This window comes from Homo sapiens, chromosome 6 (assembly GCF_000001405.40).
Source record: "Homo sapiens chromosome 6, GRCh38.p14 Primary Assembly".
Taxonomy (NCBI): domain Eukaryota; kingdom Metazoa; phylum Chordata; class Mammalia; order Primates; family Hominidae; genus Homo; species Homo sapiens.
Window position 1 is genome coordinate 129,999,580 of NC_000006.12, and position 24,906 is coordinate 130,024,485.

Here is a 24,906-nt window from a genome sequence, read left to right on the forward strand (position 1 = left end):
GGATAATGCTTTTGGTGGAGATTTGTAATGAGTTCTGCACTTAGCAAGTGTGGTAGACCAGGTGTATTATTGGGAAGATGAGGTGTTTGTTTGTTTGTTTTGTATTTCTTCTGCCTGGTCTATTATTTACTGTAGTTAGATAAATGGATTTAAATGTCTGAATAAAATATTTTTAGAGTGGGTAGATGAAGTGGCTTGTAATGTATGGAAGTAAAATATTTCTATGATGAATAAAGAAGCATTGGACTTCCCATACAGAGATTATGCATGTCATTTTGCTGAGGGCATCTACTTCCACCAGAATGATATTGTATCTTCAGAAGGAAAAGGGGAGAAGCCAGTGATAAAATACAGGGTGTTATTATCTCAGAGGTGCTTGGAGCTCAAGAGGGCTTGAAGTAATTATTTCCCAGATGTATGTTGCCTGTGTGCATGTGATATAGGAGTTTGCATTTTGGATGTTAACATGAAAAGGCAGAGTCACCAGAAATTCCCAAGGGCCATTTCAAATATTTTTAGTGGACCACAACTGCCCAGTATGGAAGAAACACAGCATTTGTGTGTGTGCATCTGATGCCAAGAAATAGATCTGGCAGGGTTGGTTAGGTAGCCTCCTTCCACTGGTGGCCACCATAAGGCAGCCCTGAATACTGCCCAGGTGCTGTGCATATAGGTATTAATTGGCTTCCCTGGGATTACCTTCCCTAAATCTGACTGAAGCTGAAAGATCCCAAAGTTTTGGCACTGGAATATCACTTGTGATGGGCTCATATTGTGGCTTATAGAGCAGGGTGTCTGTGTGATTGCTTGAGTTCCTGTCTCTCATTAGTGACAACAGAGCCCACCTCCTCTGATGTGAACAGTTTTCAAGTTTGCCTGTACTACTCACAGCCTTCGAGTGTGCACCTATCCCAGCGTGCTGAGCCTCTTTAATTAGGTGTATAGCCAAGATACCTTTAATTGCCGATAGTTCTTTTTCCCTCACTGGGAAGTTAGCCTTGGCTGGAATAAGCAGTCCTGGTGAAGAGAAACAGGTCAGCTGCCTTGAAATCCTCTTTGGGCTCAGCTGGTATTCACTAAGATATTAGAAAGTTAATTTAGATCAGAGATGTCAAGCTATATGCCTATGGTCTGAAATCAGCCCCCAGGCTCATTTTCTTTGACAAAGAGAGTGATTGCCTGCAGGCAAAGACTGCATAGTCTTTTAGAAGACTTTTTTTCCAAGTAGTTGCTGATTTTTAAAAGTTAGAAAATGTCCCATAAAAATCCAGATTTCCACCTTTTCTTGTAAAGTGAAATATATGACCATCACACTGAGTGCACATTTCCAATGGCAACAGCAGATCCAGAGCTGCTGAGGAGAGCCGAGGAGCAGGTCCCCTCTTGACCCAGGCCTGTGCTCTCCAGCTTGCCAGCATCCCCTCCAGTTGTTCTTATCCTTCTGACTCAGAGGGCAGATGTCAGGTCCCATTTCTTATCACACCTGAACTTTTTGTTTTTCTTATGATAGAGTGAGGAGGAATGTGACATATTTTCTACTGTCTACCTCTACCATAAGCAGAAATATGCAAGCCACATGGAGGGCCACTCACTTCTTTTTCATGGCCTGCTTTATTCATTGGTATTACCCGCCGGGAACCTGTGAGCAACTGAGTTTATGACTGTTGCTATAGATAATAGAAGGGCAAGGTGAGTCAGGTAGACCAAGATAAGGATGCAGGAAAGCATGACAGTTTATGGAAAAGGGCAGCTCCTTCTATGTGATAAGTGCTTACCTTTGTTGTGCAGATTTATTGCTTGGGAATGGAGATGGGACTATTGGAGGGAGAAAAGTCAATGGTAATCAGGGATTCTTGGATGTCCTTAATCGGTTGCAGTCACATATAGTTTCCTGTTTTTCTACTTCAAGGAGCACCATGTTTACTTGAAAGAATGACAAGCAAACCACGGTTAGTCAGAGACTGTTTGGCAAATATTTTTTCAAAAATGAATAAAATAAGCCTGTTACTTGGAAGAAAGAAATGAATGATAATATGAATTGCAAATGATAAAATTTGAACTTTTAAGTAAAAATTAGAATTTTAGAAAGCTTTTATCTACCACTTTGAGCTCAACAGCTCTCAATACCTAAAAACTTTTCTGTCGTAATTGATAGTGATAAAACATATGCAATTTTTTGAAATTGTAGAATAAAATGTGTTAATATTTGGAAGATATATAATTCAGTGGATCAGTATTTTTCCAGATCTTTAAAAAATCATGCATAGGTAAAAGAACCACTCAAAATGGAAGGGAACAATATATTTTAATGTAACAGAGTATGAATAAGTATTTGATAATATATCAGATACTATAACCTTTGAGAAACTACTAGTTGTCAAGTTTTGTGTAATATCAAAGAATATCCACAATTATCTGAAAAGGCTCTAAAAATACTTCTTCGTTTCCTAGCCTCATATCTGCATGAATATTTCTTTGTATACTTCAACCAGGACAACATAGCACAATAAATTGAATGCAAAGGCAGGTATAAGTATCCAGATGTATTCTATTAGGGTAGACCTTCAAGTGATTTGCAAAAATATAACAATATACCACTCAACTTTTTTTTTATTTTGGAAAACCCAGTTATTTTTTATAAAAATATGTTATTTGTGTTAACATGTAATAAGTTTATCATTGCCATTCTGAAATAAATATTTAAATTTTTTCTCAGTTTTAATGTCTTTTTTTTTTTTTTTTGAGATAGGGTCTCACTCTGTTGCCCAGGCTGAAGTGCGGTGGCATGACCACAGCTCACTGCAGCCTCAACCTCCTGGGTTCAAGCAGTCCTTTCACCTCAGCCTCCTCAGTAGCTGCGACCATAGGCACATGCCACCATGCCTGGCTAATTTTTAAAAAATTATTTCTAGAGACAGAGTCTCCCTATGTTGCCCAGGCTGGTCTCAAAGTCCTGGGCTCAAATGATGCCCCTGCTTTGGCTTCCCAAAGTACTAGGATTACAGGATTTTAACTTCTTATGTGGTAAACATTGGTCGATATAACCCACGTAACAAAAGTTATTTGAATTCCCTATTAGGGTGTAAACTGGTCCTGAGACCAACAACCATTTGTCTATGCGTATATTAACTTTCTTCATATCTATGCTACATCCATATTATTTATGTGTATATATGTGTGTGTGTGTATATATATATATAATTTTTTTTTTTTACGTAGAGTCTCGCTCTGTCACCCAGGCTGGAGTGCAGTGGTGTGATCTCAGCTCACTGCAACCTCCACCTCCAGGGTACAAGTGATTCTCCTGCCTCAGTCTCCCAAGTAGCTGGGATTACAGGTGTGCACCACCACACCTGGCTAATTGTTGTAGTTTTAGTAGAGATGGGGTTTCTGCCATGTTGGCCAGGCTCGTCTCAAACTCCTGACCTCAAGCCATCCGCCCATCTTGGCCTCCCAAAGTGCTGGGATTACAGGCATGAGCCACCGCACCAGGCCCATATCCTTTATGTATTCTTTTCTTATACAAAACACATTGCATTTACTCTTGCTCCACCTTGCCTTCCTAACTTAACAACACGTCTTCAGAATTGACCCATATCAAGACATATAGAGATTCCTTATTCTTTTTATGGTTACATAAATCTCTTTGCAAGAAATTATGTAATTATTTATCTCTTTGCAAGAATTTATGTAATTTTTATGCCAATGTCATGCTGATGATTTGTTAAAATTATTTTGTTTATACAGACACTGCCACATTGAATAACTTTGTATCCATATCATGTCAAATGTGTGGTAAGATCTGTAGGACAAAAGTAGAAATGCTAGTCAAAGATTAAATGCATATGTAATTTCGATATATGTTGTACAATGTATAAGCTTATACTTTTTTTAAGAAAGTAAGGTATGTATTACAGCCCTATACAAATAGGCTACATCAGTGTCATAATCTGTGTTCACTTGAATACAGCAGAGTTGAGTGCTGAGTGTGTATACACATACGCAGTTTACATGCTTAGAATCAAAAGTTAATGTTAACTGATTAAAACTTGAAAATATTGAAATGAAAATTAAGCTGGAAAGTCCATTGTAATAGATAAAATGTGTTGTTGATTATTCTATATCAGTGTGATTTGGGAGAAGTCATAAGTTTTTGGTATTTGTCTGGTACATGGTTGAAACAATTTGACAACTTTTGTTGGAAGGCCTGAAGCAGCTGGCACTAACTGCACTAATGAACAGGAGGTCCCAGCATTTTCAAATCCCGAGTTCACAGTGACCATCATTACAGAGGCAAGACTTCAGAGCCAGTGGAGATGGATTCCAGGCAAAGACTGTTAAGGAAAAGCAAAACAGATTCTTGCGTTCTTGCTTAGACGCTGCAGGGAAGTGCTTGTAAGCTCATAAATATGGGATCATTAAGCATCTTTGTGTGCAGGGATGAATTTTTAAAAGAATGTTAACATTTTCAAACAATTTTTAAAATGATAGTCCTCAATTCCCCTCTTCCTGCTCCCAGCGAAACCTCACAAGTTTTTTTGGTATTTGTCAATCTTTTGGCTCATTGCAGAGTATCCCATAGCTCCTATTCTATCTTCACATATCAACGTACGTGCCATCTCCTCCGGAGTACCTCACTTGGTTCCTGATATGCAACAACCTTTTTTTGCTTCATGTTCCCATAGGACTCTGTAACTTATCTACTATAGGTTATATAATGATGTCTTATAACTGTTTATTGACAATATTTCCACTACATTTTACATCCTAAAGAGAATGATGCTATGTGTCTTATTTAATGCTTTATTCTCAGAACCTACTTTAGTGCCTGACATATAGTAGGTACTCAATAAATATTTGCTGAATTAATAAAAAATAGGAGGACAATTTTGGCTAGCATGTGGGCTCTAAGAATCTCAATAATTTTAATTTAAAAATCCCAAATCTTGGCCGGGTGTGGTTTGCTCACACCTGTAATCCCACTTTGGGAGGCTGAGGTGGGTGAATCACGAGGTCAGGAGTTAGAGACCAGCCTGGCCAACATAGTGAAACCCCGTCTGTACTAAAAATACAAAAATTAGCCAGGTGTGATGGCACTCACCTGTAGTCCCAGCTACTTGGGAGGCTGAGGTGGGAGAATTGCTTAAACCTGGGAAGCGGAGGTTGCAGTGAACCAAGACCACACCATTGCACTCCAGCCTGGGTGACAGAATGAGACTCCGTCTCAAAAAGGAAAAAAAAAATCCCAAATCTCCTAGCAACTACTTTAAGTACCTCTGTCTTCACATATTTGTTTTATTGTTTCATATACAATTTCTAGTAATACTAGTACACATAGTATTTCTGGTGTAGATATACTATGGTTTGATAAAGTGTACAATGTTATTTTCTCCTCTGTTTTCTCTACCTTCTCCCATGACCCTGATGTTATTTGCCTTATTGGCCATCAATGGCACCTTTGGCCTAACAGAAATAATGAATTCTCCAAGAAGCAATAGGATTAATCACATAAGAAAAGTAGTGATCAGTAAACTGGTTTATACACGCTGTAGCCCAGTGATGGTACTATTGGTACTATTAAGGTACTATTTTCTTTTTTTTTTTGTTTGACAGAGTCTCACTTTTTTGCCCAGGCTGGAGTACAGGAGTGCAGTGGTGTGATCCTGGCTTACTGCAACCTCCACCTCCTGGGTTCAAGTGATCCTCCCACCTCCGCTTCCCAAGTAGCTGGTATTACAGGGCACACACCACCATACCTGGCTAATTTTTGTATTTTTAGTAGAGATGGGATTTACAGTTTGAACAAAATGTATTTCTTTTCCTTGGTTTCCAAACTTTCTTAGGCCAACCAAAGAAAATGGAATTTGAAGGTGTGGGTAATTTATCACCATCTCTTATTTATAAAAAAGCTTATGTGTTAGCTCATAATGAGCAGGAAAAAGTGAGAGCAGCAGTTGCCCAACATTTTTGGTACCAGGGACCAGTCTCGCGGAAGACAGTTTTCTACAGACTGTGGGGCAGGAGGGCAGTGGGGGAGGGTTTTGGGATGGTCCAAGTGCATTACATTTACTGTGCACTTCATGTCTATTATCATTACACTGTAATATGTAATGAAATAATTATACAACTCACCATAATGTAGAATCAGGGGTGCTCTGAGCTTGTTTTCCTGCAACTAGATGGTCCCATCTGGGGGTGATGGGAGACAGTGACAGATCATCAGGCATTAGATTCTCATAAGAAGCATACAACCTAGAACCCTCACATGTGCAGTTCACAATAGGGTCCATGCTTTTATGAGAATCCAGTGCCACTGCTGATCTGACAGGAGGGGGATCTCAGGCAGTAATATGAACAATGGCGGTGGCTGTAAATGCAGATGAGCTTTGCTGGCTCACTCGCCTGCTGCTCACCTCCTGCTGGGCACCGGTTCCTAACAGGCTACATACTGGGGGTTGGGGACCCCAACACTAAAAATTAGAGCATCAGGAAACTTCTTCTGTGTTCCCTGGCAACTCCTCACTTTTCTGTAAAGCAGAATCCTATTCACTTCCTTTGAGAAGACTTCGTCTCTCACCCTCTCATTTTGGTAAGATTTTATTATAGCCTCTTCTGCGAACTCCTTTACTCTTTTACCATTTATGATCCTCCCTTTGGGATTGATCTTGTGTCTTCTAGAAAATGCACTTATTCAGGGACAACCTTGGGTTTTCTCACGCCATCCAGGAGGGCTCCAAACCTCTGAGGAGACCTGGCTGACACCTAGATTGCAACTTTGTGAGGCCCTGAGCAGAGGGCCCAGCTTAGCTATGCCCAGAGCCCGGACCCGTAGAAGCTGTAAGATCATAAATGTGCATTAAGTAGCTACCTTTGTGGTAATTTGCTGCATAGTGATAGAAAACTATATACTGCCTTATTGGGAAGATGTATAGTTTATAAGAAACTGATTCTAGCTAATGTTAGATAGAGAAAAAAAAAGCAAAATTAGACATGTCACGGAATTGAAGGAAAAGCTAAACCATCAGGCCTTAGGGATAATAGGCACAAGGGTGACCGTGAGGGTATCACTGAGGAATTTTGAGGAGTGAGCTTTGAAATAATCTGCCTACATCCACCCTTGTTCCTTATCCCACGGATAAGATTTTTCCTGACAGACTCTAACTGGCCTCATTCTCATCACCTGCCCATTCCTTGATGTCGGGAAGCTTGAGAATGGACAGACCCCAAGACCATGTGGAAGGAGAAAGGAAGTCTCCTAAAGGGAAAGTGTGATGTTCTTAAGGAAAACAAAGGAGAGGGATTTGAGACAGGCCCACACAAAAGAAAGCCACTTTGCTACTGCATAGGGTTGTCAAGAAAAAACATGAGATAATGCATATAAAATGCTTCGCATGGTTCTTGGCACACAGTAGTCACTCAGTACAGTTTAACTATAATTATTAAGCATCAGGGGCCTATGCCTCATCTAGAAAGCAAAAGAAAGAACTCTGTTCTTGAAAATGAAAAGAAAAATCCCAATTTGATAAGGGGAAAAATCCCTGACACTCAAAAGGACAGGCTTAAATGTCTGTTGCTACCTAGATGATTTATAATCAAAGGGTTATCAGAGGTTAGGAAGGTATAGATTTCAAAGTGCTATTTGTGCTGATTATTGCTATGTACTCAAAGTCAAACCAGCTATGAGATATAATCCTCCAAATTCCAGTGGGCCACAGACAGAAGCCAACTATTGGTGGCTGTTTCTCTTCACACAAAACTCTTAATGGTTGGCTCACAGCTCTGATTGTAAGTGGGCTGGATGGTACCTAAGCCCACCCATCCATCCATGCTTAAATCATGGCTTTAAATTTGAAATTTTGGAAAATTAATTCAGATATGAGATGATAGTCATGTTTACTGAGGATCATGAACAGAGTCCACAATATGTTTGTGTACTTGGTATTGAGTGATGTAGTTGTGTTGTTGAAGTGAGGCTTTCCTTTGATCTTTTTGTTGACGAATGCCATTCACTGGTCAGTACAACCATTCTGAGGAAGAACTGTCTATCAGGTGGTGTCATTTTGGGCCCAGAACATCACTGACGGCTGGAGTTCACTTCCATTCCATTCTGTTCTACTCCATAAGTATTTATTGAGCTCCCATTATGTGCAATGAACTGTATTAAGTGCTTTGATAGATTAAAAAATGAATAGATAAGACAGAGCTCCTGACCTTAGGGTATTTTATTATCTCAAAAGAGAGACAAACGTTTACAAGGACCAGACACAATACAGAGCAGGATGTGACAAGTGCTAAAATAGATATAGAGACAGAAGAAAGCTTTAAATTTCAAGTGCGCATACCTGAAGTTTTCATATAAAGGGTGAATTTGAGCCCTTTTAAATCATATGCCCACTAGAACAGGCAGCATTTTATCTGTTTTTGTATTCCTAATTCCCAGCACAGTTCCTGGTACTTAATAGATGCCAATAAAGATGAATTTTTAAATTGCTTGAGGTGTGGAAAAATAGACATAAAATTTGCCATTTTAACCATTTTTAAGTGTACAGTTCAGTGGCAGTAAGTACATTCACATTGTTATGCAAACATCATCACCATCTATCTATGGAACTTTTTAAATCTTTCAAAACTGAAAGTCCAGGACCTATTAAACAATAACTCTTCATTCCTCTCTGCTTCCAGCCCCTGGCAAACACCATTGTACTTTCTGTCTTTATGAATTTGACTACTCTTGTTATCTCATATAAGTGGAATCATACAATATTTGTCCTTTTCTGATTGGCCCATTTCACTGAAATGTCGCCAAGGTCCATCCGCGTTATAGCATGTGTCAGAGTTTCCTTCCTTTTTAAGGGTGAATAATAAAGTTTTCACTGGATATATATAACTGCATTTTGTTTATCCATTCATCCATCAGTGGACATCTGGATTGTTCCCATTTTTGGCTATTGTGAAGAATGCTGCTATGAACATGAATGTACAAATATCTTTTCAAATGAGCTAGAAATTGGGATAGATCAAGAGTGGTCAGAAAGAGGGCATTCCAAGTTCAGGAAATAACATGAACAAAAGGAAAGAAGAATGACAATGCACTAGGCTTGCCTGGTGTGGCTTACTCATGGGTTGGGGCTGCACATGGAAAGGTTGATCTGTTCCAGAAGTTGCAGGGCACTAAGTACCATACCAAGGAGAAAAAGTTTTTCTGAAGTTATTAGGAACCATTTAAAAGGGGTTGGAGCAGGTAAGCAACATTACCAACACTATACTTGAGGAATACAATTGTAATGGCGAAGATGTAGTTAGAAATATACGGTAATAATCTTGGCAGGAGACAAACTAGGGCAGTGGCAGAGGAAATAGTACCAGGAGGGAGTAGAGTTATTTTTATTTTTGTTTGTTTGTTTGTTTGTTTGTTTGAGACAGGGTCAGGGTCTGGCTCTGTCACCAGGTAGGAGTACAATGGCACGATCTCGGCTCATTGCAACCTAGGCCTCTCAAGCCATTCCCCCACCTCAGCCTCCTGAGTAGCTGGGACCAAAGGCACGCACCACTATGCCCAGCTAATTTTTTTGTATATTTTGTACAGACCGGGTTTCACCATGTTGCCCAGGTTGGTCTTGAATTCCTGAGCTCAAGTGATCCACCTACCACGGCCTCCCAAAGTGCTGGAATTACAGTCGTGAGCCATTGTGCCTCCCTGGGAGTAGAGAGATTATAATGGAACTGTTAATAGGATCTGTTGACCAACTGGATGTGGGCGGCAGGAAGAGGAAGTTGTTGTTAAATCAGTGCCTGAGAGCATGGTGACATTACAAACTGAGATGAAGAATGCAGAGGAAAAAGAAGCAGGCAAAAACAATAGCTACCATTTATTGAGCTCTTATGTGTTAGGTACCTCACATGCATTATCTCACTTAATCTTGATAATGACCTTGTGAAGGACGGATTATTGTACATGGAAGGATACTCTGTTTATGTAGAATAAGTTACTGTCTAATATCTAGTAAAGGGGTGGAACTAGGATTCCAACCCAGACCTAATGGCAAAGTTCAAACTTTAAAAAACAAAAAACACCATACTATTCCATTGTCTTCAAACACATGGAATATCCATGTGGACTCATCTCTCAATAACTCGGCAATGTAAATTTCAGTTAAATGCTCATGAATAAAAATATAGTCCATCTCTACACAAAGATGACTTCAAGCGATGCTGAGGAAGAACATAAATAAGCTGACTGAGGAGAGACTGTAATGACAGAAGACCGGAACTTAATTCCGGAAGCACAAGTATCTATCGTGTGAGAAGACAAAGTGGGACTGGGTTTGAGGAATAAGAGAACAGCCAGAACAATGAATTGACAAAGACGCTGCATGAGAAGGCCATTTCAAAGAAGTGATCAGTCAACACTGTCAAGTGCTTCTAAAATCTTAAATAGGAAATAGACTGTGGCCACTAGATTTGACACTTAGGAAGTCATTGGACACTTTACAGAGAAGAAAGTACATATAGCAGTGTCTGTGGATTGAGGAATGTATAGAAAGTAAGGAAACAAAGAAAGTGAGCGTAAACTTCTTGTTTATGAAGTTTGGCGGCAAAAGAAAGGTGAGATTATGGTACAGTATTTGAAGTGATGTAGATTTGAGGAAAGGTTTTCTTTTTGAGGACCTGGAAGATAGGAGCATAATTTTTTGGCTGTGAGGAAAAAGCTAGTGGAGAATAGTCAACTGAAAATTTTGGGAGAATAATGGAAATTCATGGAGGACTAGAGATAGGCTGTGATCAAGAGCACATTTCAAGGGATAGTGAGGGGCAGGGAGAAATAGGAATATTCTTTCCCCAGGAATAGGAGAGAAAGAGACTTTGCAAGTTGAAAGGAAGAGCTGACAGTTTTTGGTGTTTTTTTGTTTTGTTTTTGTTTTTTGCTTTATAGAGAGGGTCTCACTCTGTTGGCCAGGCTGGAGAGCAGTGGTGAAATTACAGTTCACTGTAACTAGGAACTCCTGGGCTCAAGCGATCCTCCTGCCTCAGCCTCCTGAGTAGCTAGGATTGCAGGTGTGCACCACCATGCTCAGCTAATTTTATTTTTTTTTTAAGATGGGGTCTCACTATGTTGCCCAGACTGGTCTTGAACTCACGGCCTCAAGCCACCACACCTGGCTTGAAGTAGTTTACATTGGGATAGAGAGGCAACACTGTGAGGCTGTGGGAAGCTCTGGTGTCAAGATTGGTAAACAGCTGGTTGGGCTAAGGAAGAGGGAGTCAGATAGGGTCAAATGAGTAGATTATCTAGCTTTACTGAGGGCTCCTTTGAGTTAGGATGGTTTTACTCTACCATGAAGGCAACCCATTCAAAGAGTGACTGAAACTCAGTATCTTTCACACTAACACATTTTCCAACTTTCCTGAAACTCCACAGAGATGCCTGATTGAGTTTGGGTATTTCACAAACCTCCTTAACCTTATTTATAGACCCTTAAGGTAGATAACTCTTGGCTGATTTTATTGATGGTATGCTGATTTTTACCAGTTTTATTTTTCACTGTCAACAAATTCTAAGGGCATACGTGCGGAAACCCTCAACATACTGACACTAGGAGAGAACTACTTGAAGAGACTGCCATAGAAAAGTATGGGGAAATTACTGAGACATGGTGAAATGTTTCAATGTTGAATTTCAAAATTTCATTCGTTAAAGACTTCAAACCCATTGAGAAACCTCTGTTTAAAAACCTTTCTATTGATTCTGGTTTCTGAAATAGAACCAAGTGCAAGGCATAGCTAGTATAATTTAAAGTAACAGATTGTCTTCTTCTCTTACATTGACATTCCATTCGGCATTCTACGTGAACAAAGTAATGTTCCAGATTTTTTTAATATATAGTTACATTTACTGTATTTATGTGATAAATTCAATTCTAGATATAGGTATTAGCAATTGGAACCATGCTTCAGTTATCTCCCTTATGAAAGATAACATAGGAATGTTATAACAAATATTTAGTTAAAAAACTGAAAAGGGCTTTGAAAATGTAAAAGTGTAATATAAATGCTAAATAAAGATAATATATTCTGAACAGCAGGCTCCTTTGAAATAGGGCCTATGAATTCCATTAACACTCTCTGTTTACATGCTTTTAGGAACTTTTAGGAGGGTGTTGCCCATGAACATAACTCCGATACAATACCTACGGTCTAGTAACTAGCCAGGAAAGACACAAGTCCAAGAGCAGCGTAATAATTCACATAAGAATACTTCTTTAAGTCATTTAGTAAATGTTTTTTGCATGCTTCCATGTGCAGGTACAGTTCTGGGTGCTAGGAGTACACAGGGAACAAAACAGAAAAAAGCCTGGCCAGGGATCTGAATAGACTTTTTCAAAGGAAGATATGCAAATAGTCAATAGGTACATGAAAAAGTACTCAACATCACTAATCATTAGAGAAATGCAAATTAAAGCCACAATGAGATATCACTGAACAGCTGTCAGAATGGCTATTCTTTTAAAAAAAATAAAGATACCAAGTGTTGGCACTGATGTAAAGGAATGGGGACCCTTGTACACTGTGAGTGGGAATGTACACTGATATAGCCATTATGGAAAATAATATGGAGTTTCTAAAATAACTACAAATAAAAATACCATACGACCCAGCAATACTACTTCTGAGTATATATCCAAAGGATTTGAAATCAGCCTGTCGAAGAGATATCTGCACTCCCATGTTTATTGTGGCATCATTCACAATAGCCAAGATAGGGAAGCAGCCTAAGTGTCTACCAACCAGTGAATGCGTAAAGAAAATGTGGCATATACACATGATGGAAAACTATTCGGCCTTTAAAAAGAGGGAAATTATGCCATTTGTGACCATACGGGTGAACCCAGAGAACATTATGCTAAGTGAGATAAGCTAGACACAGAAAGAGAAATACCAAATATTCTTACTTACATGTGGAAGCTGCAAAAAATTGAACTCATAAAAGGAGAGTGTAGAATGGTGGTTACCAGCGGCCAGGGAGTGGCCAGGAATCGGTTCAAGGGGTACAAAGTTCCCTTTAGACAGAAGGAATACATGATAATTATTTGAGATGATGGACATGTTAATTAGCTTGATTCAATCATTCTACATTATATACATACAGCATCACTTTATACCCCATAAATATATACAATTATAATTTGTCAATATTCAATAAAAATAAAACAGGAAAAAGTTCCTTTTAAGAAGTTAACATTTATTGCTTGCTAACCAAGTGCCAAGGATTTTTCTTGGATGCGTCCATCAAATCCTCATAACAACCCCACGAACTAGGTAGTGTCAGTATCCCCATTTTACAGATATAGAAACTGAGGCAAGAGAGGATCAATAACTTGTCCAAGATCACACATTAGCAAGTAGTGGAGTTGGGATTTGAACCTTGAAATTCGGCCTGAATGTTCCACTAATGAGAAAAAATGACGGGTACTGGATTGACTAAATTGACTGTCTAACTTGGTCCTCTTTAATTTTGTAAGGCCAAAGAGAATGAGTCATACACATTGCTTGGCGTCTTTGGTTTTTCTATTTGATTCAAAAAATGCCTCAATTTTCCATAAGTGATGAGGAGCTATTGTTGGGATGCCAGTGAAGATAGGAATCCTGCTCTACAAGTAGCCCTTCTGGTAACCACAGAGTGATCAGGCCTTACAAAACTGGAATGACATTTGGGAATAAGAAGACATGCAGAGTCCACTGCAGTTCTGGCACCTTTATCTTTTGGGCCTCCAGCCACCTATCTCTGTTTTTCTCTAACTTATGGTTTCTACTTATGCATAGTTTCTACTGTCTAATCGCTAATCTTCCCATGCTTTTTCTCTCTGAGTTGTTTATTAATTGTTTTTGTAATGGCTATCAACTAACTTTTAACCCCAGTGTCCCCAGTGTCTTCAGTTAATGTGGCCAAGTGTGAGAATATGATTGGCTATTCATATGGGGAAGCACATTCCCTGCTGACTCACAGGCCACCCCTGCTATTCTACTCAGCCCTTAGATTACATGCCCAATCCTGGACCAATCAGCTGTGGCCAGGAGATCAGGTCAAATGGAAAGAACATTCTAGAACCAGGATCTCAGTGTACTGGCGGCTGTTGTCACAGGCATGTTCTGAAGTCTGGCTTGTTCCTTCCAATATTGTTTGTTATATGGCTTCTGAATTTAGGTTCTAAGTGAGTGTGTTATGAAGAATTATCAACCGTCTTTTTAATTTAGAAGTCAGTTGACAATCCCATATTATTCTATTCTTTTGAATATGTCTGCAATATTTCTATCTTAACTTCTTCATATCTAAATGAAATGATAATATATATTCACATCACATCTTTATATATTTAATTTCCTTACGATGTTTAGAATGTGATACATATTATAATCCTTTCCTCACCTGATGAGTACTATACCCCCTTTTTTCCCCCTCAGCATTTCAATTACATTTCACTATCATAAGCTTTGTGCTGAGTGTTGGATACAGATGTATCACAAGCAAGAGATTGGTATTCAAATGAAAAGAACTATAAGAACATTTCAGTGTTATCTAGAACATTAACAGGAAGACCAGACTCAGCTCTTACAAATATCAATGATAAGAATTTTGGCCAAATCAATGTTAACATCATTTTTACAGTTGGAAAAACACAGAGCACACAATTATATAGGCTAAAAAAAATCAATAACTTGACTCATATGTAACAGTAAGATAATACATTAAAAGGATGATTTCAAGAATTGTTCTTTTAGAAAATTTCTATAGAAAGGTTCAATTTTACCTTAAGACTTGTGACCAATAGCACACATTGTAACATGGGGGACCGGGGTTAGGAAAGCAGTCTGTGGCTATGAAACAGATCAAAACTAACTAGCCATTAGGGAATGAAACCCATGACCTCCATCTCATTAGTACCAGGCTTAAGCCAAGCTGAATGAGCTATTCATTGATAACATTATGATACCTATTGGATGAGCCTTTACTCTTTACTTAAAAATCCCTTTCTCGGTTCCATATTATTTGTACTAAAATATGATTGTGTTGCTGTTATGTGAGAAGGAGTAGGGAGATACATGGCTTTCAAGGAGACTTCAGAAATCAGACTGAGCGCAGTGGCTTATTCCTGTAATTCCAGCACTTTGGGAGGCCGAGGCAGGAGGATCACTTGAGCTCAGGAGTTTGAAACCACCAGGGCAACATAACGAGATCTCCATCTCTACAAAACATAAAAAACATCAGCCAGGCATGGTGGCATGCTCCTGTAGTCCTAGCTACTTGGGAGGCTGAGGTGGGAAGATCATTTGAGCTTGGGAAGTCGAGGCTGCAGTGAGCTGTGATTGCGCCATTAAACTCCAGCCCAGGTGACAGAGCAAGCCACTGCCTCCAAAACACAACAACAAAAACTTCAGGAAGCAGGGCCAATTAAAAGGAAAAAAAAGGGAAAAAATCAATTACTCTGTTTACTTTATCTAAGTAGGGAGAGAACTGAAGCTCCTAAAACGTGAGGTGACATGGCTAATGGTTCCCAGTGGTGGTAGCAGAACTGGATTAGAACACCAGTCTCTTGGACTTCACTCCTGGGCACTTTCAATTTGTGAAGGGCTGGCTCATGGAAAATGTAATCCTTGAATTTTTCCAGGACATGAGGGGCCTGTCTTATCAATGCAGGACAAGCATAGTGTTAGGAAAAGGGTGCTAAGCATTTTTGTTTGTTTGTTTGTTTGTTTTGAGACAGAGTTTCGCTCTTGTTGCCCAGGCTGGAATGCAATGGTGCAATCTCGGCTTACTGCAACCTCTGCCTCTTGGGTTCAAGTGATTCTCTTGCCTCAGCCTCCCAAGTAGCTGGGATTGTAGGCATGCACCACCATGCCCAGATAATTTTGTATCTTTAGTAGAGACGGGGTTTCACCATGTTGGCTGGGCTGGTCTCGAACGCCTGACCTCAGATGATCCATCTACCTAGGCCTCCTGAAGTGCTGGGATTACAGGCGTGAGCCACCACATCCTGCAGTAGCTAAGATTTCTAAAATGAAGTGCATGCAGCATCGACATTCCAGGATGGAGTACAGTGAGAAGTTTTGAATGACATCCATGAGGGTGGGGGATGGGGTGATGAGAGGCTTCAAAAATTCTCTGGAGAGTGAGTACAGTGATTTGTTTAAAACATTTTCTATGTAAAATGACTTTAGCTTCAGAATATTTGGGAATGTAGTAACCTGAAATCATTTTGGGGTGGACAAGTTTGGATATAAACAAATAAATATAAAGAAAAATAAAGGAGTGAGCTCATAGCTGAGTGTGGGACGTCAGGGAAGTTATAGACCTGAACCTGAAGCATGGATTTGGTATTTACATGTGGCAGGGTGGAGGAGGGTGGGATGGGAAGGTGGGAGAGTGGTAGAGGATGATGAGATTAAGTGATGCCGGAAAGAAGGCATTCATCATGAATCATTAACAAGTGAGTGAATGGTGGAAGGTGGAAGGGATGGCAAAGAAGCCTCTGCTAGTATATTACTATTTAGTGAACAGACGGAGAAAGGTCTGGTAAATAGTACACATTTATGCGAAGAATAAAATCATGTTACCTAGCTTCTAATAATGTATTTTACCTCTGTTTTAGATAGTGGCACCAAAGGATTCTTTGTAGAAAACTTTGACAGCAGCCTTTAAAGTCATTATTCCTACAAGTGAGTACTTTCAAAATCTTTACTATCCTGAACCACATCTTGAGAAAAATTGAGATGAGGTTTTAATAATGATCTCCGGAGGAGAAAGAGTGTATCATAGAGAGCCTCAAGTCATCCTTATTTCTGTTAGTGAACCTCTGTCAGTACACTTTCTAGGCAAGCCTTGCTCTTGAAACACTCGGACCTTTACTCAGGACTTCTCTGATTGGTTCATGTTCCCAGACACCTTCTGGGAAGAAGAATGGCATCATGTACCCTGGATGTTTGTCCTTCAAGAATCAGCTTAGCCATCACTTCTAATGTAAAGCCTTTCCTTATTGCCACTGGTGCTCAACTGTGTTTGCTCTACATACCTCTGCTATAACATTTTCCATATAACATTACTGTAACATAATGCCCAATTTACTACACTGTCTCTCCACCAGGCTGAATTTCTTGTAGCTGGGGCCTAGTTTTGGTCACCTGTTTATCCCCAGCACCTTGCAGAGCACTTAGCACAGGTAGGCCATTAATACACATTTATAGACTGTTGAACCAGTATCACTGAAAACATAAGTACAACAGAAATATCATCTAGAAATTATCTTGAGAGAAGGAATCTAAAATTGATTTTTCAGAAAGAGGAATCTAAAATTAATTTAGTTTCCATGGGGGCAAGGTCTTAGTTTTGTACATAGCTCATGCCCTTTCTTTCCTTCTCCTGCAGTTTGCCTTTGGCCATTTCACTGCTTATTATTCAAGGGCTAGAGAGAAAAGGAGAGAAGCTGAAATTCAGATCAGTTAATTAAGCTGTTTGGGAACAGCTCTGAAAAGGGTTGAATGTGGTGGGTGAAATCAATAGTGAACTGGTGGTTTGAGATCATCTACAGCTCTCACTACCCAGCCTTCTCTACTTCACACCCCTCAGCCAACGGCTGTTCAACGTATGAAGCATTTTATAAGTTCATTTCAGCTTCACAGGATTTGTCCGTTTGTTCTGGAGTACATGTTAAGGCATATGGCCTGATTTTTGGTTTGGAGAATTTGGTCACTACACCAACATTAGATATATCGGGTGGTCTGCTTCTATAGGGTAATTTCATGGTCCTAAGGAAAGAATTTAAGAGTTTATGTTCTGAAACTGGTTCAAGAAACATTCCTTAAGTGAAAAAATTCAATCAAGAATAATATTCCCTACACTGGAGAAGGATTTTTAATATAGAACTTCCATCTGTGATATATTTAAATTCTAGGCCTCAGGCAGCAGTTTCAGAAAAGGGCCTCCTTTACCCTTTATTAGATGCAAAATAGTCTACTCTGGGGATGGGAACTTCCTTTTACCTCCCCCCCCCCGCAAAATCTAAGACATGCTTCCCTCATTCCTAAAATCACACATGCTTTTTTTTTTCACACAGCAAACTCTGCTATTGACATCAAAATGTTTATCAAAACTTTAATTACTCGAATTATTTTGTAAGTACTCCTATTAAGTGGAAAAGACCAGTGAAGCTGTCCAAACGGCGGCCCGCAGTCAATGCGCCGAAAGCTGTCAATACTGAAATGTAATACTCTCTTGATCTAGTTTTGACGCTTTAACAAAGACAGGTTTTGCCATTTAGGACCGCTCAGCCATCTTGACTGAATACCTTAAGAGGGTAGTCCTGGACCTGCTTATTGCCAAGGGACTTTCACAGTGTTCTAAGTTACTGTAGGAATCTCAGCCTATTACTCGACAGAGGCCTAACATGTTGGAGCTGTCAATAAAGATCCGCACTTAGGAAGCGGAAAGAAGGCACAAGTTTTATATGCACACTTTCTTTATTATGCATTGTTCCAGCCATCAAAGAGAGGGAGATTGTACTCTCCCAAAGCTTACAACTTTGTTACTTTTCATGACCTGTAGCATGTATTTAGCCTTTGGGCAGTGTTTGTGCAAGACTAAGGCCCACTCTTTAATGGCTGAATGCATACATTTCACAGCACATGGTGGATTCGCTGCTCTGAGAATTGCCTTTAAAAAAAGTAAAGTGAAAAATAGACAAAGAAATCTGGAACCTTAGCAGTGTTTCCTATTTGTTTGGACTGTTCTTGAACCAGCTCTGAGGCGGTGACCGGGCTATTGAAAAGATGCACCTGAAACAGGATCTGCGGGCAGCTGCATTTGCCACCCGGCTTTATTGCTGCTTTCCAGCGGCGAAGGCGCAGCAGCAGTAACAGGGAAGCCAGAGCGAGCCTCCCCGGCAGCGGCGGCGGCGGCGGCGGCACCGGCACCAGCGCAGTTTCCCCTCTCCCCAGCCCTGACTCTACGCGCACATGCGCATTGCGCCCGCAGCCCTGGACCATTTGTCAGGACTACTCGTGAGACGGAGAAAAAAAAAAGAGAAAATTTGGGGGTAAGAAGCGGTTGATCGGATCTAATCTCTAATTAATCTGAAGATTTGTCCGTGCAAAAGCCATTCATTTATTTTTCTGGGTGAGGATGAAAGTTAAGAGCCCTATAGAGGGAAGGAAGCGCACCCTCGTCTTGTGAAACAGATCAGGGGAGGGGAGGGACAGAAGGGGTTTCTCCCCCACTTCTCTGCGCCTCTGGGAAAGAGGAGAAAACTTAATCCCGGGGAAAAAAGTGGGCAAGTGACTCGGAAACGGCTGGAGGGGGAGTCTCTGGGCATCTCACTCTGAAGTAGTGAGTGCGAGTGTGAAAGAGGAACAAAAGAGAGAGAAAAGAGAAAGGAAAAAATGGGGGGAGGAGAGACTTGTATTTTTTTCTTTGCGCGCACACGGGGAAGGGTGTGGGGGGCCGTGCGGAAGGGAGCCGGGGCGAGGCGGCCGCGTTGGGCTCAGGCTGGCGCGCAGGCGGCGGGATGCGTGTGGCCCCCTCCCCCGCGCCCCCCGAGCTTGTCACTTTGGTCGCTTTCGTGACACCGGGCGCGGGGTGGGGGAGCGCGGCGGCGCCGGGCTCCACCGGGGTGCGTGTCCGGGTGGGCGCCGCGGAGCCGCAGCCCAGGCGGCGAGCGCGGCCGCCGAGGCGGGGGGCGCCGGCGGGGGGCGCGGGGGCGGCCGGGGCCGCGGATCGGTGCGGCGGGAGGCGCGAGCCCCGCGCGCCGCCCCTGCGGCCCCCTCCGCCCGTGTGGCCTTTGTGCCGGGCGCGCACCGGAGAGCGAGCGAGCGGGCGGGCGAGCGCGAGAAGTACAAGTACGGGAGACCGAGGCAGTGGGAAAAGAGGCCGGGCCACTTTCTCCCCTTTCGGGCTGCGGAGAATGGACTGGTTGAATGTGCAGGCGCGTCTCCCCGGCGTGTGCTGTGTGTGTGCGCGGCGGAAAGGCCTGCCCGACTCCCACCGCGCACACGCACACTCACACGCACGCACACACACGGACCCGCGGCGGGGCTCGGCGGCCGAGAGTTTGCGTGGCTTCCTCGCCGCCTCCCTCTTCCCAACCGAGTGTGTGAGAATTTCATATAGATCAGCTCCAATTTCCGCCATTTTGGGAAAGTTGCACAAAAATAAACCCTCCGGTTTATTTCTGCCCGAGGCAGGAAAGTGCTTTGGGAAGCGAGGCGGCGCGGGCCCGCGGCGGCCGTCCGCGCGGGAGAGGGCGCGGGCCGCGGGCCGGGCCGGGAGCCCGCGCCGTCGCGGCGTTCGCCCCGCGCCGTGCCGCGCCGCGCCGGCCCGGGTGCGGGCGCGGGCGCGGGCGTGTGTCGGGAGGCGGCGGCGGCGGTCGCGGCGGCGGCGGCCGCGCCGGGGCGGCGGGCTTGTGGGGGGAGGGTGGGGGCGGCGCGGGGCTGCTTTTCCTGCAACTTGTTTACGCCTGCCTTATTCTGGGGAGGAAAAGAGGGGTCGGGGCCGGGGCCGGCGCCGGGGCCACCGCCCGCCTCGCGCCGCGTGTGTGTGCGGTTCCGGAATAATGGGCTTTGCACACTCGCGTCCTGGGCCCCGCGGGCCGTCCTCGCGCCGCGGCGGCGGGGCGGGGGGAAGTAGAGGCCGGCGGGGGTGGGGATCGGGAAGCGCAGGAGCCGAGGCATCCGCCGCGCGCCCCGCGAGCTGGTGGAGTGTGGGGGCCGCCGGGCGGGGAGAAAAACTTGAGAGCCCTGGAAGGGGAGGAGGGCACGGTGGCACGGGCGGGGGGAGGGCGCAACTTTTGGACTGGTGGTAAAACTTTAATTACCTTTAAAGAAAAAAAGGCCCTGCGATTCCCCCCTCCCCCAGTCCCGGTCAAAGCACAGCCCGCAGCGCGACCGTGAGAGAAAGTTTAAAAGCGGGCGTGTTCCTCCCGGGTCCCCGCGGAGGGCTGGGGGCGTCGGTCTGTCCGTCGCGCTCAGAGGGAGGTGGGGGTAACTAGCCGCTTTCCAGGGCGCGGGGACCGCGGCTCTACCCCACCCTTCCACGGGAGACGGAGGTAAACGTTGCTTCGGTTTCCCTTCTGAGTCCCCCTGCTGCCACCACCCCGCTTCCTTTTCCTCCCCCTCCCCGCCGATTTTTTGAGGGGACCCGAAAAACGGAGTCCCTTTCCTTAGGCAACTTCCTCGGGCGCTGTGAGCACGGCCCTCCCCCTCACCGCCCCCACCCCCAACGCCTCGCATCCCTTGGCCCGCTTCTCCACCTCGGGGCCACCGCCAGAAAAATGCATTCGAGATCATTCAGAGTGCACAGAAACAAAAATAGATTTTTAATTGTTAGGTTAGGGGAAACTGAGATGAGAAATAAGAATTTGGGGTGGGGGGGCGCGGCCGGGGCGAGTGCGTCCAGTTCTCCTTTTGGTTTTCCTAGAGCGTTGTTTGTGATGTCTTTATTGGTTTAGGGAGTCCGAGAGGCTCTATGCTGGCTATCTCGGTCGCGTGGATTTTTGCGCAAGTTTTTAGAAAAACACTGACTCGAGTAGAGAGCATTTCTCCGGAAAGTTTCAAGTGCAGCAAAATAGCGAACGTGCAAAACTGGCCAAGGGGAGACCTCTAGTGGTTGAACGCGTCTTTTAAGTTCGGAAGGCCGAGAGCAAAGTTTGGCCTTTACTCGTAGCTACGTAGTCCGTTCAGACGTGGAAGTAATTAGAGGACCTGAGCGAGCAGCCAGATGTTGTGTGAAAGGATGCTGATCAGAAATTGAAAGTTTAGTAAATCGAAGCAATGAATTCTGAGGACTCAGACCCTGTAACTTCCATCCGACATGAGTTATATGGGAAAGACACTTTGCTTTTATTCAGAGATTTGAGATTGATCGCTCCCTGAATTGGAAACAATTGTTTGCTTTTGCATTTATCGGTGTCTGTACCTCTGATCAATTTTTAATTAACGAGTCTCAGCTGATGACTTTATTTTGAATGTTAAGAAAACTGCTAAGTTGAAATGTGTTTAAAACTTTGAAGAAATGGAAAAGACCTTTAGTTGAGATTTGTCTTTTATATGAGCTGTTCATTTTACTGTCTGATAAGTGTAAGGCAATTTTATATAGTTTCTTAGCTGTATAGTTATGTATAGTCCGAGTAAGTAGTCCCTTTTGGTTCTAAGACTGTAATTTTGTTTCACTGAGTACGAAATTATTTCTGAATACTTGTATAATTTGTGATTTAAAGTCCTTAAATACATGGGCAAAAATTTTATGTAATATCTATTCTTTTTCCAGTGTGTTTTCTGTAAAATATCTTTAATTTTAAAGATAAAAGCAGTGAGGGAAATTAAAGTTGACTCAAATGATCCTTGTAACTTTCACCTGCCTGTCATATACAACAGGAGAGACGTTATTGGGTGAATTTAGGACATGGGAATGATACGAATGATTAAAATCCATTTCAACTCATCTAGAACCAGCTTATTTTATTTTAATTTACCGAGTGGCATGGTGTAAAATTATGCCTAAGTGATTCAGAATGTAAGCTTCTTAACTGGGGATGGTGGATTTGAAGGTTTCTTTTTGATGACAGTGTTTTGATTTTACCTTCCCTCTCTTTAAACCAATGCTAGAACCCTTAGGAGAAATCTTGAGAGTGGACAGCAATTGTGAAGATCGCCAGAGAGTTCTGTGTTTCATCACCGCCGAAAGGTAAGACCCACTTGTTGAAATAAATTGCTTGACATACCTGCAAATGTTAAAAAGCTGCATTTGGAGATCAGGAAGGAGAGTATGAGACTGGGTTGGCAGAAAAACATCATTTTGTGGGGCTGCTTTGAATGCATGAATGTATTGACACTAAATGTAATTGTAGTTTGGATGAAACATTAGGAAGTTAGGAGATTGTCCTGGATAATCTTTGTATTGCCTTACTTACTAGATTCTTAATTAGCATTTTAGCACCTGTTTTCTACTGAAAGTAAATGTTTTATTCTTTGGAGTTGAAAAAGTGGAAAAACTGGAATAAAATGATTGTAAATTAATATAAGTGTTACATTGTTATACAGTGATATGGAAGATTCTGGAACTCTAAATGTCTTGGGGGGCCAGTGGTAAAATTTTGTGAATGAAATTTACATTGGGTGCTTTGGGGGTATTTGTCACATAACTTCTATGGCTTAAATCCAAGATGGGCTGACTTGTGCCAAGTGCCATGTTGCAGGGTTATGAGTGAGTTTCAGTGTGTTAGCTTAGACTTGTCAACTTTTGAACATACTTCCACAGGGAATACAGCTGTTGTCTACTAAGATCTCTTTAGTAATTTTGGAGGGTGTTGGCTTCTTTCCAATACTCCAGGTCCTTCTTTTAGGGCAAAGGTCATTCTCAGGCAGAGGGGACAGCCATCTCTGAAGGTAGAACATTTCAGTACATTTTTGCTACTCCAGTGCTTTCTACTGTTTATACCTTTTTTTTTCTTCCTTTAATCTTCCCCTCTCCTTTTCTGCCTGTTTTCCTGCCCTCTCTGTCTTGAGTAATAAAGGGGTCGCTAAATCTTGTTTGGCAAAAACAAAAGAAAACCAAAATTAGCCTACCTTTTTAGAGCAGAACTAACAACCTTCATTGGGCCAGGTGTAATCTAGAAATCAAAATGACTAATTATTGATATAAAAATGATTAACAGGAGTTTATTGTCATTTGCTGCTTGTGGATCATTTTGAATTGTATAATTAGCAAAATAAGTAGATCTGGTCCATGTGGATATGCAGCAGAGACAATGGGGCAAGAACAGCTATAGGAAGGTCCTGCAGACAACTAGGGTTCAAGAAGAGTAAAATCAGTTTCCTAAGATGGTGAATTTCATGTTTAAATGTGCTGAGTTGAAGACACTGCTTATTTTTCTTTGTCTGCGGAGTCACTGTGTCTGTGGATAGAATGCTAGAATAGGAATCAGAAGACTAAATGTAATAACTAGATATATCACCTTGTATATGTCACTCTACCTCCTTCAGCCTCCATTTCCTCATCTACAGAGCGGGAACAGCAATACTTGCCTTGCATCTTTTGTTAAAAGAATCAAATAAAATCAGATTTTGAGAACCATAAAGAGTTATTCAGATGTATAGTGGTCATATCATTTTACCTTCGTCCAGCTTTATGAAGGGCTGGAGGTAGATTGTCTAAGTCAGAATATAGTGATTTAACACTTGGCTAAAACTTTTAGATTGGTTTCTGATGTGTGTATTGTATGGACTTCTCGGAATATTTCTAGGAGTATATCTTGTCTTGAGAAAAAAGTAGTTTCCCTTGTATACTATTGGCTCTTTGAGGGAAGAGACCATGCTCTAACATGGTGCGGAATACAAAACCGGAAATTTATTTATCCCAAACTAGTCATTTAATAAGTAGAAGGAGTAAATGAAAGAAATACTTTAAAATGATGCCTAATTGTGAAAATGGTAGGGTGATGAAAGTAGAAGGGTTGGTGTGAGGGGAATTAATGTACTGTAATTAATATTTTAGTTGCATGAGTCTGCTGGGAGATGAGGATGAGAAAATAGGTAACTGGAGTAGTAATGATTTAAACTAACTATAGGGGCCAGAACATGAGTCCTCCGAATGACTGAATTTAGGAAATGTCCAAGTAGGGCTTTTCCTCCTTGTTTTCTAGACCTCTTTGGCTGCAATCTAATTATAGCCAACTATGTAAAATCTAGATTAAAAAAATTGTAAGTACTATCTATTATTATTTTTGATTTGATGCTACTGAACCTGACAAAATAAACCCTGACAGGTTTTAGTTTTACTTCATCTCCACTCTTTGGAGATTATCCAATCAATGTTCTAAGAATCCAAAAACCCAATAGGAGTGGAAAAAAGAAGTATATGTCCTG

The 24,906-nt window shown here is 42.0% G+C and overlaps 1 protein-coding gene across 22 annotated transcripts in view, besides 5 other annotated features; it reads left to right on the top strand.

The window, feature by feature from the left end:
- Nucleotides 1,501-2,058: an enhancer, noted in NCBI's record as "OCT4-NANOG hESC enhancer chr6:130322225-130322782 (GRCh37/hg19 assembly coordinates)". NCBI's record gives its function as "activates a minimal SCP1, AML or CMV promoter by ChIP-STARR-seq in naive H9 embryonic stem cells {active_cell/tissue: H9 hESC(naive)}" and the evidence as "EXISTENCE:reporter gene assay evidence [ECO:0000049][PMID:30033119]".
- Nucleotides 19,002-24,906, top strand: part of L3MBTL3 (L3MBTL histone methyl-lysine binding protein 3) — a 122,858-nt gene continuing 116,953 nt past the window's right edge. For 3 of the 22 annotated variants that reach the window (XM_047419407.1, XM_011536184.3, XM_047419410.1), the window contains exons 1-2: nt 19,002-19,165; nt 22,648-22,726. The gene's annotated coding sequence lies outside the window, so the exon portion shown is untranslated. Of the gene's footprint in view, nt 19,166-19,221; nt 19,376-19,480; nt 19,659-19,741; nt 19,885-20,064; nt 20,135-20,685; nt 21,090-21,147; nt 22,556-22,647; nt 22,727-24,906 lie in introns of those variants that run through there. The other 19 variants (XM_006715576.4, NM_032438.4, NM_001007102.4 and 16 more) reach the window with 13 other exon arrangements.
- Nucleotides 19,482-19,611: a silencer, noted in NCBI's record as "silent region_17535". NCBI's record gives its function as "represses an Ori minimal core promoter by ATAC-STARR-seq in GM12878 lymphoblastoid cells {active_cell/tissue: GM12878}" and the evidence as "EXISTENCE:reporter gene assay evidence [ECO:0000049][PMID:35858748]".
- Nucleotides 20,562-20,801: a silencer, noted in NCBI's record as "silent region_17536". NCBI's record gives its function as "represses an Ori minimal core promoter by ATAC-STARR-seq in GM12878 lymphoblastoid cells {active_cell/tissue: GM12878}" and the evidence as "EXISTENCE:reporter gene assay evidence [ECO:0000049][PMID:35858748]".
- Nucleotides 20,852-20,921: a silencer, noted in NCBI's record as "silent region_17537". NCBI's record gives its function as "represses an Ori minimal core promoter by ATAC-STARR-seq in GM12878 lymphoblastoid cells {active_cell/tissue: GM12878}" and the evidence as "EXISTENCE:reporter gene assay evidence [ECO:0000049][PMID:35858748]".
- Nucleotides 21,282-21,341: an enhancer, noted in NCBI's record as "active region_25052". NCBI's record gives its function as "activates an Ori minimal core promoter by ATAC-STARR-seq in GM12878 lymphoblastoid cells {active_cell/tissue: GM12878}" and the evidence as "EXISTENCE:reporter gene assay evidence [ECO:0000049][PMID:35858748]".